The 18,487-nt window shown below is 43.2% G+C and overlaps 1 protein-coding gene across 2 annotated transcripts in view; it reads left to right on the top strand.

Moving 5' to 3' along the window:
- ABCA4 (ATP binding cassette subfamily A member 4) overlaps positions 1 to 7,638 on the top strand; it is a 128,315-nt gene extending 120,677 nt beyond the window's left edge. For both annotated transcript variants that reach the window (NM_001425324.1, NM_000350.3), the window contains 3 exons: positions 2,362 to 2,611; positions 4,277 to 4,363; positions 7,230 to 7,638. In NM_001425324.1, coding sequence (NP_001412253.1) covers positions 2,362 to 2,611; positions 4,277 to 4,363; positions 7,230 to 7,235 — 343 coding nt within the window. In that variant the 3' untranslated portion in view covers positions 7,236 to 7,638. The remainder of the gene's footprint in view (positions 1 to 2,361; positions 2,612 to 4,276; positions 4,364 to 7,229) is intronic.

Here is an 18,487-nt window from a genome sequence, read left to right as displayed (position 1 = left end):
TAGGAATGGTTAGGAGACCAACTGACTTGAGGACCCATCTTTGTTTTTAGAATATTGTATGCTTTTGAGTTTGAAAAAAGACCATATGTTATATGACAAACCAACAATGGCAGTAATCTTGAATAGGATTATCCTTATCCTGTACCCACACATTGTAAACTATTGTAGATAATTCCTTATTATTAAGAGTTTGCATGCCAAAGCTAACAGTTTAAGATTATCAGCATATTGCCGTGCTCATTCACGTTCTGATATGCTTTATAACCTAGAAAAGAGCAGAGTTACAATTACTCATTTATTTAACAAACACTTATTAAGAGCTCAGAATATAAGTCACTAAGCTGGTTGGTGGGAGGAACAGCACATAACCCACCTTATCTATGCTGAGGTGCATAATCCTGATGCACCCACAGGAGGGTGTTACACAGAAGATGTCATCCTTTCATATGTGTCAGAGCAGATAAATAATTGAGAGAAAGGTCTAATAGATTAGCTGCTTGTGGCAAGTGGACGTTTGACCCATGATTTATTGAGCAACTACAACTTGGACACTGCATAGATATCTATAGAAATAGCAGCATGTCAGGTCACCAGACCTGTGTCAGCAACTTCCTGTGTCCAACTGCTGGAGAAAGGGAAGTCTCCTATTCCTTTCCCTCCAGCTCCTTAATATCTCCATGATAGAGGGGGTGAGAGGGGAGTGTTCCCTGTGTGGAGGGATGGTGAGTTTTCTGGAGCTGAAAGGTAAACAGCCTTTCTCCTCTGCATCTTACTGCAGAGGAGAACAGCCCTAGACTGTGGAGGAAGCTTTGGAGTCAGTTATGACTGACACAGGATACCAGGGCATAGGGTACTGACACCCGCTAGCCGTGCACACACTCTCTGGTGGACCATCACTCATCCAAGAGAGGGTAACCAGCCATCCTGCTGAAGGAGAAAGAAAGCACCAATGGCCCAAGCCCTAGCAGCTCCATTGTTTCAGGAAGCTTCCTCAGGGAAGTGCTGCCTTCCCGAGCCTTTGCTCCCACCTGGCCCATCAGCCCTTACCACCACTCAGTATGCACTGGTCCACGTGTCTTTATGGGCAGTCTTGGGATCCCCACACTGGGCTAAAACTACCTTTGACGGCCAGGTGCAGTGGCTTACACCTGTAATCCTATCACTTTGGGAAGCTGAGGCAGGTGGATCACTTGAGGTCAGGAGTTCGAGACCAGCCTGGCCAACACGGTGAAACCCTGTCTCTACTAAAAATACAAAAATTAGATGGGCATGGTGGTATGCACCTGTAATCCCACCTACTCGGGAAACTGAGGCACAAGAATTGCTTGAACTCAGAAGGCAGAGGTTGCAGTGAATCGAGATCACACCACTGCACTCCAGCCTGGGTGAAACAGCAAGACTCTGTCTCAAAAAATAAAATAGGCTGGGCGTGGTGGCTCATGCCTGTAATCCCAGCACTTTGGGAGGCCAAGGCGGGCGGATCACTTGAGGTCAGGAGTTTAAGACCAGCCTGGCCAACATAGTGAAACCCTGTCTCTACTAAAAATACAAAAAAAAAAAAAAAAATTAGCCGAGTGTGGTGGCAGGTGCCTGTAGTTCCAGCCTCTCAGGAGACTGAGGCAGGAGAATTGCTTGAACCCAGGAGGCGGAGGTTGCAGTGAGCCAAGATCATGCCACTGTACTCCAGCCTGGGCAACGGTGAGACTGTCTCAAATAAAATAAAATAAAATAAAATAAAATAAAATAAAATAAAATAAATAAAATAAAATAAATAAAACTACCTTTGACTTCAGCAAGTACGATTATCCCACATTACCATGCAGACATTTGATCTCTAAAAACTGGTATCAAATGATTTCTCCAGGGACTACCATGGTTTTTCTCTCCTAGTTTTCAGTATGTACACAGGTCTATGGTATGGGCCTTTAATCCCCAGTATTTCTTTTTTTGTTGTTCTTGTTTGGGTTTGTTTCTTGTTTTTCGGTTTTTTTGAGACAGGGTCTCACTCTGTCACCCAGGCTGGAGTGCAGTGGCATGATCATGGCTCACTGTAGCCTTGACCTCCTATGCTCAAGTGATCCTCCCGCCTCAGCCTCCCAAGTAGCTGGGACCACAGGCATGTGCCACCATGCCCTGCTAATTTTCGTAGAGACAGGGTCTTTCTTGTTGCCCAGGCTTATCTTACATTCCTGAGCTCAAGTGATCCTCCCACCTCTACCTCCCAAATTGCTGGGATTTCAGGTGTGAGCCACCAAGCTGAGCTTAATCCCCAAAATTTCTGATGAGTCTACTCCTTATTTTGGGATTACCTTAGGCCCAACCACTAACAGAGGCCTGTCCTGCACTGTGTGCATCCCCTAGATTTGGAGATGGCTATATCGTCACAATGAAGATCAAATCCCCGAAGGACGACCTGCTTCCTGACCTGAACCCTGTGGAGCAGTTCTTCCAGGGGAACTTCCCAGGCAGTGTGCAGAGGGAGAGGCACTACAACATGCTCCAGTTCCAGGTCTCCTCCTCCTCCCTGGCGAGGATCTTCCAGCTCCTCCTCTCCCACAAGGACAGCCTGCTCATCGAGGAGTACTCAGTCACACAGACCACACTGGACCAGGCAAGTTGGCCCTGGGGCACCGAGAGCTGAGCAAAGACTGGTCCAGAACACCCAGTGTGGGTTGGAATTGCCATAAGAGGGAGGCATAACATTCCCGATTTTTAACAAACTCTTGCCCTCTGTTTATTGGGGTAAAAGCTGATATATCAGAAATTGTTTTCTAACAATATTTTTTAGTCATCAGGAAACTTCATTGATTCTTTTTTTTACATTTTCCTTCCCTGTGATGCTATGGTGTGTTATTTCATTCTTGCTCGTTTGTGGTGGTGGTTTTTCCTTCAAATCAGCTTTATTGATGTGTAATTAACATACGATGAAACACAGGTTCTTTGGGAGGCCAAGGCAGGAGGATCACTTGAGCCCAGGAGTTTAAGACAGGCCCATGTAACAAAGTGAGACTTTGTCTCTACAGAAAAAAAAAAAAAAAATCAGAAAATTAGCCAGGCGTGGTGGTGCATGCCTGTGGTCCCATCTACATGGGAGGTTGAGGAAGGAAGATTGCTGGAGCCCAGGAGGTCAAGGCTGCAATGAGCTGTGTTCATACCACTGCACTCTAGTCTGGGTGACAGAGCAAGCCCCTGTCTCAAAAAAGCAAAACAAAACAAAAACACCTATTTTAAATGTACAGTTTAGTGAGTTTTGATAAACGTGCATTCCATGTGTGGTTTTTAAAAATGTAATCACATTTTTTATTGCGGTAAAATATAATAACATAAAATTGACCATGCCAACCATGTTTAAGTGCACAGTGCAGTGGCACTAAGTACATTTACATTGTTGTGCAACCGTTACCACCATCCCCGATAGAACTCTTTCATCTTGCTTCAGTGAAAATCTGTGCCCATTAAACACTAACTCACCACTTACTGCCCCCCTCGCCCTTGGCAACTACTGTTCTACTTTCTGTCTCTAAGGCTCTGACTACTATAGATACCTCATATAAGTGGAATCATACAGTGTTTGTCCTTTTGTGTCTGGCTTATTATGCGAGGACTTAGCATAATGTCCTCAAGGTTCATCCGTGTTGTATCATGTGCCAGAATTTCCTTCCTTTTTCAGGCCGAATAATATTCCTTTGTACGTATATGTGCTACATTTTGTTCATCCATCTATTCATTCATTGATAGACATTTGGGTTGTTTCTGGGTTTTGTGTTTTTATATATGTTTTTTTAAAAATAAACATCTTTAGAGACAGTTCAGTAAAGCAGTGGAAACAGGGAAGTCTCCATTTAACCCCTGAGGATCTGGCTCACCTGCACCTTCTCATCAGCATTAAGCAGAGGGAGGCACGAGCAGGAGCCACCTGCACACTCAATGAGGAGCTGAACAGGGATCAATTACCTTTTTTTTTAGTTATTAGGATGCTGCTAGCTGAGAATCTGCCTTGCCTTGATTACCCCAATGTCTGGTGCCCAAGTCCCTTGAGTCCTCCAGCAGGAACTCCTGTGGCATCACTCAGGAGTCTAGTCTAAGAAGCTAGCTCTGACCAGGGCAGTGGTGGCCAGGCTTCTGTGAGTGGGCCAGCCTCCCCCGGGTAGGACACAAGCCATACCAGCAGGGCTGTATGTGAACTGTGGAAAATAGAGAGCAAAGTGGGTAGGTGGGTGTAGGGTGCTGTTTTCCTGGAAATATCTACCTAATCTCGCTCTTCTCTTACCTCTAGGTGTTTGTAAATTTTGCTAAACAGCAGACTGAAAGTCATGACCTCCCTCTGCACCCTCGAGCTGCTGGAGCCAGTCGACAAGCCCAGGTACCCCTGCTGCTTATGCAGTCCACAGCTTGAGGCAGTTCCTTGGCTCAGAGCCCAGCTGGTTCACTGGGCTTGAGTTGCTCCAAGGCTCAGATATGCCTCCTACAGAGAGCCCCACCCACACCACGGTCCCTACCAAGTCCCCACCACATCCTCATCACATCCTTGCTAAGTCCCTGCCACTGTGTGTTCTGTGCTGAAGAACTTTTCATTCAGTAGTTGTAGGGGTTCCTATTGTAATCAGGAAACCATCTGGATAGCATGGGAGAGCATTTTTGAAAAGAACTTTCCCATGTTTTTGCTTACAGCAAAAAAGCTTGGATTTGGGGAATAAGGAGCAGAGAAGGTAATAGAGAATATTAGAATGTTTTGGGTGCTTGACATCTATGTCTGGACATGTGTTTGAGTTTCAAGGGAAGGGACTTAACTGGCACATCATTTCAGTGTCAGACACATTTGGTTAGATCAAGGAATAGCATCTGTTGTAGGAAGAGGGCTCTTTGTTCTTTATAAAAATTACAAGAAGATGGAGAAAGAAGCAATAGGAGGTATGTCTCCTGGCTTGTGATAACTCTTGGAATAGGTGCTTGTAGGTTCCTGCCCTGGCACAGTGCCCCATGTAAGGAGCACACCACCCAAGAAGGAGAGAGCTAGAGCAAGTACTGGAGGAGGCACCAGCATCCCAATGCCTTGGCTTAAGCCTGGGATTGTAGAGGGATGAATTAGCCACTCTCTTCTGACTTACCTGGAGAGTAAATCAAATCAAATCAAGAAGCAAGGATATGCAAAAACCTTATTTCCCCATAAAGTTTTTATTCTGCCCAGTTTCTGGATTGCAAGAAAAACCAAATACAGCTAATGATTGAAACACTGCTGTCTAAAGCAGTGCTTGTGATGAATTTTTTCCCTTCCTCTTGACCAGCAGAGACCTAATGGCTACTTGGCAAAACTGACTTTGTCTTCCCACCCCTTACCTGCCAGAGGGCCCAGAAATGCCTAAGGCTCCTTTAGTTACAGAAAGTTTGCTTTTACTGAGATCTTCCAGCCACTGATTCCCATTTATAGATCTGGTGATTGCTGTTGACATCAGTTGAAAATTATTTTTAAAAACCACTTGCAGTTGCAAATCCTTTTTATAACTCTGTAACTCAGAATATAGAATTGGGTAGCAAAATTGTTTCCCAGAATTACCAATGGTCTCCCCACCCCTGCCTGGCATGTTCCCTCTTAAAGGACTAATCCCACCACATCACCTCTGGGCCAGGCAGAACATCAGGGGTGCTGATGTTCTGTGATCTACAGCAGTTAATTCCAAACTTTTCTCCCTTATTGGATGAGATCATTTTTCTATTGTGTTTTTTACATTTTTGTTCACAAAGATTAGAAAACCTGCAACACACTTATTGGCATATTTTTCTGATAATTTTCATCCAAAACCTAATTCTGACTTTACAACATACTATCTTTACAAAGGTTTGCAAAAATTCTTTCATATAGCATTGTATATGTCTGTCATGAAATAATAGTAAGTATATTATTGTTTACATTATACCACTTCAAAATAATTTCCTTTAAAGTATTCTTCAAACAAGAAAAAGGCAATTTCTCTCAAGAAGTTTTAGAGAGAATTTACAACTTGCTCCTAAGCAAATGTGAGAACTTCAGGAGGTTCATCTGGCCATTGGCTTTACAACTCCAAATTGTGAGCCAGGACCACACAGATATTTCTCTAGAAATCAGCGTTTGCTTACCAAGAACATTTTTACTCTCCAAAGGACTCCATCCTGGAAAACATGTTTTGGGATAAGGTCTTATGCAATCTTATACTCTGTTATTAAAACCAGTGAGGGTCAAGGTGTTAATAGATTAAGTAGTGACAGATGATCAGACAACTTAGAAACATCCTAAATAGGTTAATAATTATGTGACCATCGCATGTGCATTCCCAAATTAGGAACAACTCAGATCAATTTCTAATCCTTATTCTTACACTGTTCCAGTTCCCCCATATAACTCGTATCTTTGTGTTAGTTTCAGAAGTTTCTGAAGTACCCTCAGCCTTGATGGGGATCCTCGCACCACCTCAAATCCTGTTCTCAGCCCTAAGAACTGTGTTAGTCATCCTCTTAAGAGGATGTGTGATTTTAAATCAGATAATGGGATAAACCACATTTCGTCTAGACTGGTCAGGCCTTTGTCCAGTCCCCTCCTCGCCCACACTACCCCAGCTCCACAGCGGGCATTGGTTCAGGAATTCAACCCACACTTTATAACTGGAGACAGTATCTCTCCAGTTAAAAAGGTCACCTTGGTGTCCGCTTCTCAAGGAACATGGACATCTTTATTAATCAAAGCCCAAGCTTTGATCTGGAGCCTAATATCCTGCACTCCAGCTCTCATCTCTCCCCTCCCCCAGTCACACTTTCATGCTTCCCAGAGCCACCCCTACAGGAAGTGGTCAAGGGAATTCTATACCTCAGGGCTGACCTAAATTAGGATTTCTTGGCTTTTAAGATAATGGTAACTTTCTTAAGCTAAAAAAGCCCCAAAAGACCCTGTAAGAGCCCTTGGAAACAGCACCATGGGTGTAGCTTCCCCCCAGGATGTAAGCATGTATGCACACATCTCGTATGTGTGTCTTTGTAACAAATGCCTGGATCTTAGTACCAGGGAGACCTGATTCATAGATTTCATAGAGAAGGAGAGAAAGATGGCCCATAACCTGGGTGATCTGACAGAATCACAGTGCCCTCAGCTGAGTGCCCTTCAGAAATTGATTGACAACTGTTTAGCTTTTGAAATCTAAAAGTAGTACAGCATCTCAGAAAACCAAGATGACGCGAGTCCATGTGATCTCCTTCCACAGGACTGATCTTTCACACCGCTCGTTCCTGCAGCCAGAAAGGAACTCTGGGCAGCTGGAGGCGCAGGAGCCTGTGCCCATATGGTCATCCAAATGGACTGGCCAGCGTAAATGACCCCACTGCAGCAGAAAACAAACACACGAGGAGCATGCAGCGAATTCAGAAAGAGGTCTTTCAGAAGGAAACCGAAACTGACTTGCTCACCTGGAACACCTGATGGTGAAACCAAACAAATACAAAATCCTTCTCCAGACCCCAGAACTAGAAACCCCGGGCCATCCCACTAGCAGCTTTGGCCTCCATATTGCTCTCATTTCAAGCAGATCTGCTTTTCTGCATGTTTGTCTGTGTGTCTGCGTTGTGTGTGATTTTCATGGAAAAATAAAATGCAAATGCACTCATCACAAACTATCCTAATTCACAGTCTCCCTGGTGTGCACCACCTAGTATAGTTTTAGACATTCTTTAGATGGGTGCATAGCTCCTTGTCAGTCCCATGCACTTCTGTGAGTGTTACTGCCTCAGGACTGCTCGTTCTGGCAAGATTCTGCAACACTAGGTTGGAAGTGAATGGACTAGTCTTAATGTTCCATGTCAAGTCTTTGTAGAGTTTGAAGAAAACACCCAACTAGTAATGCCTGTAAACATTATCCATTGTCAGCTGGGTATTACTGACTTTAAGTTTCGTGTCTGTTTGCCCAGCTTATTTGAGTGTTTACCTCACAAGTGTAATTAGGACAGGAGACAAAGAGGCATGCACAGGCGAGAGTTGGTCCTTGGTTGGACGTGAGACCCGACAGGACTTTGTAACCATTTGAAGAGGTCAGGACCTCATTCTCATGCTGCTGTGCCTTTTCTGCAGTGCTACCATGTGCATCTTCTGCAGTGGTGTTAGAAGGGAATGAAGGCCGGGCGCAGTAGCTCACGCCTGTAATCCCAGCACTTTGGGAGCCTGAGGTGGGCAGATCACAAGATCAGAAGATCAAGACCATCCTGACTAACACAGTGAGACCCCGTGTCTACTAAAACTATGAAAAATTAGCTGAGCATGGTGGCACATGCCTGTAGTCCCAGCTACTCAGGAGGCTGAGGCAGGAGAATCGCTTGAACCCAGGAGGCAGAGGTTGCAGTGAGCTGAGATTGTGCCACTGCACACCAGCCTGGCGACAGAGCAAGACTCCATCTAAAAATAAATAAATAAATAAAAAGGAATGAAGATGGACATCTAGTTCACATAAATGCTCATCAAGATTCAGAAAATAATAATTTTAAACCAAACATTTCCAGAGACTGTGGATGAGGAGAACAAGTGGGTTTCCTTGTCAGGGCAGTCTCCCCTCCATGACCTAGAGATGGGCTTCGTCGTAAACATGCTTTCATTATACTGAGGATAGACTCCAGAGTCGGGGTGAGGCAAGAGGAAAAGGGGAGAGATGCTGAGGCCCAGGAACTGTTGCTGAGAAGAGGATGAGAAAGAAAGTGAGCACAAGGTGCTAAAATTTTTGTTTCAGCTGTGCTTGTTTAGAGGCAGACAGAGGGCAAGGGCTACACAACTTTAAGTCCTGCACACCTCCTGGCTTGCCACTTTGCACCTTCTAGATGCTAGGCAAACAACTGCCCATAGAGACTATAAAACTACTTTGGTAACCCCGCAGCTTCATCTGGTGTTGACTTTTTCTTTTAAGTTACCAAGGACCAAAACTGTAAGACCATTTTAGCTAGGGCTAGGATAGAGGTTGGGAAAGCCCAGCACACTGCTTGCATCACACTGCTGCACCCTGGCTGGTTTCATAATTTAAATTAGCAACTGCAATATCACAGGAAAGAAGACTACACTCTTCGGGGCTGCTTAGGAAAAGAAAACTAAAAAAAGACTATGTAGGGGAGGTGGTTTAGCAGCCATTCTGTTTGGCTGTGAGGGTTTCGGAAAGGCATCATGAACTGGGAAGAGTCGATGCAGGTAAAATCTGCACACCCCCTTAAGGAAAAATCTCAGTTTACCTTTTGTCTCCACTACACCTGAGGTCTGTGTCTTTTCATCCTGTTTTTTCCAGCTCCTGGCACACAGAAAATGTTCAACTAATACCCACCAAACTGAAAACCCAGCAAACTATGAAAACTCAGCAAGAAAAATAGACAGAAAAGAAGTGGGTCCAAGAAAATGATGCCTCCAAAAAGCAGCAAAGGGCAAGTGGAGCAGGAGGATGCCGTGCTTTAAAAACAGCCACAGGCCGGGTGTGGTGGCTCACGTCTAATCCTAGCACTTTGGGAGGCCGAGGCGGGCGGATTGCCTGAGCTCAGGAGTTCGAGACCAGCTGGCCAATGTGGTGAAAGCCCGTCTCTATTAAAATACAAAAAAAAAAAAAAGAAAGAAAGAAAATTAGCCAGGCGTGGTGGTGGGTGCCTGTAATCCCAGCTACTCAGGAGGCTGAGGCAGGAGAATTGCTTGAACCCGAGAGGCAGAGGTCACAGTGAGCTGAGATCGTGCCACTGCACTGCAGCCTGGCAACAGAGTGAGACTCTGTCAAAACAAACAAACAAACAAACAAACAGCCACAAAGCAAGGAGGAGGTGGCAAAGCCACAGCTTGCTTGGGTTTGAGGAGGGCTGAAGCTGGAAGCTTGGCCCAGATCTCCTGAGAATGTGTGACTCTACTGAAAGATGCCTCAGTCTGTTAATAAGGGAAATTATTGAGGAAATGGAGGAAAAGGAGGAGGAAATGGAGAGAGTCAGTTCAGAAAACATGGCCACTCAAGAGAAGCTACAGGCATATGATGTGCTGCCAGAATTTCTAAGTTTCCAGTTCTTTGGGGAGCTCAAGATTTTGGAATAGCTGGGATAAAAAGAGAAATCTCTTTCAAGCTGAGTGAAAAGCCCACTCTAGCTCTCCTGAAGAGACAGGAAGAGAAAAGTGGGGCAGAGAACCCATCGGCAAAGCTCTGGGCTTGGGGCACAGGGTCTCTGTGACATCCTGGGCACCTTCACTGTGGCCAGTGAGGAGGAAGTTCTGCCCCAGCCGGCCTGCGGGGACTATGGGGCAAGGGAGGAGCTCTTCCTCTAGAAATACAGCAGCCTCACCCTTGTGGGGTAGCTGTTTCAGGCACCAGAAGGACTCAGCCCATGGACTCCGGCCACCTGGGGCTTGGTTTCCTCAATGCAGCATTTCAATGCCTGAGCAGGTGCCCCGAGCTTAACAGTTCATGACTCCTGATGACAACAAGGAAGGATTGCTCCACATTTTGTCCAAGGCGATCATCAAGTTGGGGAAAGCATAGGTACTGGAATTTTCAGATTCATAAAGCCATAGGCTTGTAGAGTTGGAAAATACCTCAGTATTCACAAATTAAGCCTTTGTGGGATTGTTTTGTTTGCACTGTTTTCATAGAAAATGAAAAGCACATTCCAGAAAAATTCAATGGCTTGGCAGGCCATCCAGCCTTCCCTGCAGCCCCGCTCCACTGCCGTCCTCCTTAAGTGGCTGCATTCTCCCAGGGCTAAGCATCCACAGGTCCCAGGGGGCATGCCCACTGGACCCAGAACTCCTCTGCAATTCCCTGTCCAAATGATCTAAAGCTCACTTCTAGGGCCTGTGTGAGCTGAGTCAAGGCTGGTCCCGGATCGTGCAGGCTAGTGTCCATCCATGGCACACGAGGCCACTTGGGAAAACAGGGGAAAGAAGAAAAGGGGAGCGAGCCATGGGGCAGTGGGCTGTGCACCACCACAGGCCAGTGTGGAACTCCAAGGATGCCAAGAAGCTGACATTTGAACCCAGGTCATTATGAAGGTGGTTATTTAGCAGTTTGTTAGCTTCGTTTGTAACTTTAAGTATTGAGACATAAATGGCATGAGGACCCCCCAAGGCACTCTACTCAGGGCCCTTCCTGCAGCTCACCATGACACACACTCAGCTTCCTGAGCAGCTGCCTGATGTCCAGGCTCAGATGTGCACATCCCATAAGACATGCTTTGCCCAGACCCAAGCCTTCTTGGTTTTATACTTTAGTACATTTCATAAGAGACCACAGATTATTGTAGCCAAATCCCACAGTCTTGAGTCATGGTGAGTTTCAGGGGGCACATTTCATCCATAAGACACTGCACAGCACCTGGTCAGACGGCATTCCAGGCACACAGCCTAGCCCTGGTGCAATTCTTGTTTTCCAGCAGAGCTAGGCAGCCTCTTTGGTCCTGAACAATACTGATTGCCACATTCATCCTCTAACAGTTGCCAAAAAGCAAAAGAGGAAGGGGGAAAGGAGAGGAGAGAGGAAACATTGCAGAAGAAGGTAAAAAAGCATCCACTACTCCATATTCTGGGGACAAAGCAGAGAACAAGACACAGCCTCTGCTTTCACGGTGTTAACATCCTAATGCATCAGTCAGCACATTTTTTTTTTCTGTAAAGGGCTGGACAGTGACTATTTCAGACTTTGCAAGTCATACAGCCTCTGGTTGCAACTACTCAACTTGGCTGTGGTTCACGGAAGCAGCTATAGACAACATGTAAGGAATGGGCAAAGCTGGGTTTGGCTCACAAGCCATACTGTGCCCACCCCTGTTCTAGCAAGTAAACAGATTAATGTTAAGGGACATCAGACACAGCTTCAGGTGCCTTTTAAGGACCCCCCCCCCCCCACACCCATTGCCACTTGTTCCATTTTCTGTTTTATAGTAGGAACTGCAAGTAACTCCAGTTTAGCTGGGACAGCAGATGTTGAAAGATAAGTTGAAGGTCAGAGAATGGGGACAATTTTAAGCTCAGAAACTGTGATTTTAGATCTTCGTTGAACTAAATCAACAGCTGACAGCAGCCAGCCTGCAGGAAGGTGTAATAAGCCTGGGTTTTTACCTGCTTCCCCCATCAGCCCCACTTCATGTAACAAGATGTCTTATAGGTACAGCATCAAGTCCCACCTAAACCAGCAGGAGCCTGAGGGCTCAACTCCAAACATTCATAATTGTTCCCTCAGCTAAATGTCTAGGGAGCTCTATAGAAACAAAATAGCAAGGTCAGTAGGTTGATCACTTTTAAAATGTGGGCTCTTGGGCAAAAATGTCAGGGAAGAGCCAGGAAGTCCCAATGTATTCGTAGTCCCCACTTTGGAGAGGATTCCCTATTTTGGAGTGTTCAATGGTATTTATCACTATAAAGGTGTAGATGATGAACTTTGAAAACTACAGGATGGTAAGCAATTATAAGGTAATGTTACACTTTTTGTTATTTTAATTGTCCTCACTTTCTGAGATCCTGAACTGATTAATTTTCCTGTTTCAATTGTAGGCATGACTCTTCTCCTGTCCTAAGAGACTTAAAAAAAACCCTCAGATTCCTTCTCTTCCACCTTCTTCACCCCCTGTATTCTACCACTTGCCAAAATACAGCTTCCAACACCACAAGGTCATTCCCAAATACCCCTTTTGCCTTTCTTTTATCACTGTCCTTTCTCTGATAGAGGCCTTTATTACTTCCTGCCTGGGTGATGTTCCAGCTCCAAGCCTGGCCTGGCCTCGCCTCTCCCACATCCACTGATACTACTCTGCTTCTTAAAATTCATTTCCTGAGGTCTGTTTGGTAACCACGATTGAACACTTACTATTAGCCAGGCACTGTGCTAACTGCCACATACAATAAAAGTCCCCAACACCACTCTGGTTGGGAAGTTGTCTCAGAAATAGATGAGGTCAATTTAGTAGGGAAAGGGAGGGAGAGGGGATGGGAGAAGGAGAAGGAAAGAGGAGGAGAGAGAGATTGAGAAAACATGAATGAATGAATTATAGGAGCCCAAAAGAAGCACACTCAACTAGCAGGAAGTGGGAGGAGTAGGGAAGTCTTCCCAAAAGGATCATTCACTTAAGTTCTCAATGGTTCCTATAAACTGCAGAGTTAAGTGCAAAATCCTCACTTTGACATTAAAGGCCTTTTATGATTTGGCCCCAACTTACCCTTCCAGATTGACCCCTTGCCAGTCCACATATGAGCTACAGTCTAGCCAAACAAAACCCCTAAATTCAACCCTCATTTTCCTGTCCTTGTCTTTAATTATTCTCTCCCCCCTCCCTAGAATATCACTTTTCAAATTTGTATTCAGTGTTAACAACTAGTTATCTACATGAAAGTATTTAAAAAATTAAGTTAGTTCTATCTCACAGCATACACAAAGATAAACTCCAAGTGGATTAAAGTATTCTTTTTAAAAAATAAGAAGTCATTTTTATGTAATAATTTTTAAATTGTGAAACAATCACAAATTTACAAGAAAGTTGCAAGTATAATAGAATTTTCTCTTCAATCATTTGACAAAAAACTGCCAACCTGAAGCCTCATAGTTTGTATAGTTTGTATATTTCCTACAAACAAGTGCATTCTCCTGCATGATCACAATACAACCACCAACAGCAGTAAATTAACATCACTACCATCTAATCCTCAGACCCCATTCAAGTCTCAACAATTATCCCAATAACCTCCTCCTTTATAGCAAAAGGATCCAGTTCAGAATCACATGTTGCATTGAGTTGACAGGTCTTTTTGATCTCCTTTAGTTTGGAACAGCTCCTCAGTCTTTTAACGATGACAGGTCAGTTATTTTTTAGTGTTCTTCAATGTGGGCATGTTTGATGTTTCCTCATAATGAGATTTATGTTATGTATCTTTGGCAGGAATATCTCAGAAGCGATACTGTGTTCTTTCATTTCATTGCATCCTATTAGATGGCGTGCAATTTCAATTTGACCCATTACTAATGATGTTCACTTTAATCACTTGATTACGGAGGTGTCTGCAGGCTTCCATAAGATGATTCTCTTTTCCTTTGTAATTAACAAGAATTTTATTTATTTATACGTATTTATGAATTCATGGCTTCCTATTTTATTCAATGGGTTTAATTCTTTACTATTTAACTTAATGTCCAATTTGTCTCTTATTTAGCTAGTAGAAATCCATCAAATGGCTCTTGTGTCCTTTTGATGTGTTTCACATCATTCTTTGAGCACTTACCTGCTTTCTGGCACAACAAGATATTCCAGGTTTATCTTGCCATTTCCCAATCTGGAATCACCCATTTCCCCAAGGGCCCTGGTTCTTTTTAGGGAAAATACTATTCAGAAGCCAACATCTAGGCTCTCTTAGTGGACAATTAGAGAATATGTATGTATGTATGTATGTACATATGTATAGATAGAGAATAGATATATATACAGTCATATCTATATTTATTTCTCTATATATTAATGTATACATCAACAATCGTGAGGTTATGCTGATACCTCCAATTCCAATACATCACAGCATTTACTTTCATTTTTTTCTTTCCACATTTTCAGCTCCCTTCCCTTAAAAATTGGCTCCCAATATCTTTAAGATATTTATACACACATTTACTTATATGATCGATCCCTCTGGATATAACACATCTCCCATCTCCACCATTGTCCTCCTGCCTACCTTCCCCAACAAGAATCTCACCTGACACTACCGGGGTTCTGACACCCACACTTCCCCCCCTGCTCAGGCTCTGACTCCCCACCCTGGGCCACTCCAGCACATAGATACCCTCCTCACCCTGCCTGGGGTCTGGTTTCCACACCAGGCCACCTTCCTACACAGACGCCCTCCTTGCCTCGCCTGGGCTCTTACACCTGCTCACAGCCCCTGAGGCTCCCCTCAGCCCTACCTGGGCACCTACCCGGCTCCCTAACACCTAAGAGCCTTAAGAATGATTTACTCGGCCGGGCATGGAGGCTCACGCCTGTAATCCCAGCACTTTGGGAGGCCTAGGCGGGTGGATCACAAGGTCAGGAGATCAAGACCATCCTGGCTAACACAGTGAAACCCCGTCTCTACTAAAAATACAAAAAATTAGCCAGGTGTGGTGGCGGGCACCTGTAGCCCCAGCTACTTGGGAGGCTGAGGCAGGAGAATGGCGTGAACCCAGGAGGTGGAGCTTGCAGTGAGCCAAGATCAGGGCACTGCACTCTAGCCTGGGCAACAGAGCGAGACTCCGTATCAAAAAAAAAAAAAAAAAAAAAAAGAATGATTTACTCAGAAAGAAAGGAAACAGAAGAGGGAAAAGAAGAGTACCCAAGACCACTTTTGAAAAACCAAAGTGGAAAATCCTTAGAAGAAAACATAAGATACTGTTTTCATTGTGTTAAGAAAAGTTTTCTTAATAATGTTGGTTGCTAACACTTAATGAGTGCCAGGGACTCATGGCACTAATGAGTCAACTATGTGCCAGGGACTGTTTTAAGCACTTTATATATTTAATTACATAATCCTTACAACTACCTAATAAGCAGGAACTGTAATTATCTCCATTCGACAGATAAATGGATGGAAACCCAAAGAGGTAAACTTGACCGAAACTGCACAGTAAGCCGTGGGGCTGGGATTTAAACCCACATGGTCTGGCTCCAGAGCTTATATTCTTACTCACTACTCCATACAGCCTCTCCAAAGACACATAACAAAACATGCGCATGTGCGCACACACATACACAGACGCACACACACACACGCGCACACTCCGTAGGGGAAAAGATTCATCAATTTGAGCACATTAAAATGAAAAACATACACAAAACAAAACACACTCTAAAAAATAAAGACAGACTGCAGACAGGAAGAAATTATTTTCAGTGTACATAATGAACAAAGAATTAGTATTTTGATAGATGTAAAAAAGACAAATAACCAAAAAGACAAATGAGCAAAGAATACAAATAGACACTTCACAGAAGGGGAAACTCAGATAGTCACTAAGCATGTGAAAAGATGCACAGCCTCACTAGTAATCAAGGAAATAAAAATCCAAATAACAACGGGATACTATTTCACACCTATTAGGTTGGCAAAAATCAGAAAGATGAATGCTACCAAATCTGTCATCATCATGAATTGGGAACTCTCCCTACTAGTGGACATGTGTGAAGATTAGAAGAAGACTTAGAAGATTCAGCATATAATTGTACTCATGTCTAAGATGTATTACAGCAATGGAGTAAGAATACACAGCTGGATCATACAGGAAGAAAACATGGAAAGGATCTGGTGGGATCCATGCATAGGCTCCTGTATGCTTTCCCCCTCCCATGAGGGATCACATGGAGTACATTCATTTCCCAGTGGTGAAAATGCAGCAACAGGTATGTGATGCTTCTGCCCAGAGAAGCCCATTAGAGAGTTGGTACCCAAGGTTTTTATTGTGTCACATAAGCACACTTTAACTAGCATGTTTCAAAATTCCAGTCTCCCAGGAGGAAAGGAAGGGCTCAGCATGAACCACATTGTTTGCACAGTCTAGGCACAGTAAGCCATGCTTATTCATTAAAGAACAATAGGAACACTCCAGAAACCCAAGTTCCCAGATGCCAGCTAAGGGCTAGCCTTGCAAGCAGGCCCTTCTAAAAACAGCAGCTTCGGGTCTGCTATGATAACCATTTACTGCAGAATGTCCATGGATAGGACCAGTTTGGACAGCCTTTGACAACATCTAGTTAAGTTAAAGATGTGCATGTCCACTGGCTCAAACCTTTCTTCTAGGTCTACTCTGTCTTAGAGAAACTGGACATGTGCACAGGAGGAGATGCTCAGGTGTGTTCCTTGCAGCCTCGTTTATAAAAGCAAAATATTAAAAACAATCTGAATGCTAATCAAGAGAAAATGAGTAAATAAAGTATGACCTGTTCATGCAATGGATGTTATGTAGTAATGAAAATGAACTAGAAATGGGTAAGTCTCAAAATATAATGTTAGTAAAAATATATAATGGCAGCAAGATCTTCCATGGCCACTCTAAGGAAAATTTTGATTTCCTCTACAGCCATCCTCATGTCATATTCCCTTCTCTGCTTTTTCTTATATTGTTAGTAGTTGTCACTTTGTCACATACCACGTTTTTATTTATTTATCTTGCTTATTGTCTCTCTGCCCCTCTGGAATACAGAGAATAAATTTTCATTTATTTTTTATGGCTGTATCTCCAATGCCTAAAACAATACTTGGCTATAGTAGTTAATAAAGTACTTCCTACCTGGGAAACACCATTCTGGACTTCGTCTGGGAAATAACTTATAACTAAGTCCTCAAAAGCAATTGCATCAAAAACAAAAATTGGCAAGTGAGATCTAATTAAATTAAAGAACTTCTATACAGCAAAAGAAATTGCCAACAGAGTAAACAGACAACCTACAGAATGGGAGAAAAAATTCACAAACTATGCGTCTGACAAAAGTGTAATACACAGAACTTATAAGGAACTTAATTCAACAAGCAAAAAACAATCCCATTGAAAAGTGAGCAAAAGACATGAACAGACACTTCTCAAAAGAAGACATACAAGCAGCCAACAAACACGTGAAAGAACGTTCAATATCACTAATCATCAGAGAAATGCAAATCAAAATCACAAGTAGATACCATCTCGCACCAGTCGGAATGGCTATCATTACAAAGTCAAAAAACAATAAATGCTGTGAGACTGGAAAAAAGGAAACACTTATACACCGTTGGTGGGAATGTAAGTTAGTTCAGCAACTGTGGATTTCACAAAGAACTTAGAACTACCATTTGACCCAGCAGTCCCAATAAATCATCCAGAATGATTTATTTCTCAAAAGAAAATAAGTCATTGTACCAAAAAGACACATGCACACATATGTTCACTGCAGCACTATTTATAATAGCAAAGACATGGAATCAACCTAGATGCCCATCAACAGTAGACTGGATAAAGAAGAAAATGTGAGATTATATATATATATATATATATATATATATATATATATCATGGAATACTATGAAGCCATAAAAAAGAACAAAATTATGTCCTCGGCAGCAACATGAATGCAGCTGGAGGCCAATATCTTAAGAAAATTAAAAAGCAAAAGAAAACCAAAACCACATGTTCTCATTTATAAGTGGGAGCTAAACATTGGGTACTCATGGACCTAAAGATGGCATAATAATAATAGACACTGAGGACTACTAGAGGGGGCAGGGAGGGAAGGGGGAAAGGGTTGAAAAACTAACTATTGGATACTATGCTCACCACCTGGGTGATGTGACCAATGATACCCTAAGCCTCAGCATCACACAATACACCCATGTAATAAACCTGCACATATACTTTTTAAATGTAAAATAAAAGTTGAAATTATTTAAACAATAAGGTATTTGCTGAATTAATAAGTGAAGTATGGTGCAATTTTTATAAAATTTAAAACGTAAAATACTAAATACTATAGATACATGTGTATA

Source organism: Homo sapiens, chromosome 1 (genome assembly GCF_000001405.40).
Source record: "Homo sapiens chromosome 1, GRCh38.p14 Primary Assembly".
In the NCBI taxonomy this organism is placed as follows: Eukaryota; Metazoa; Chordata; class Mammalia; order Primates; family Hominidae; genus Homo; species Homo sapiens.
Note: the sequence above shows the minus strand (reverse complement) of the source record. Positions and strands in the feature narration are given on the sequence as shown.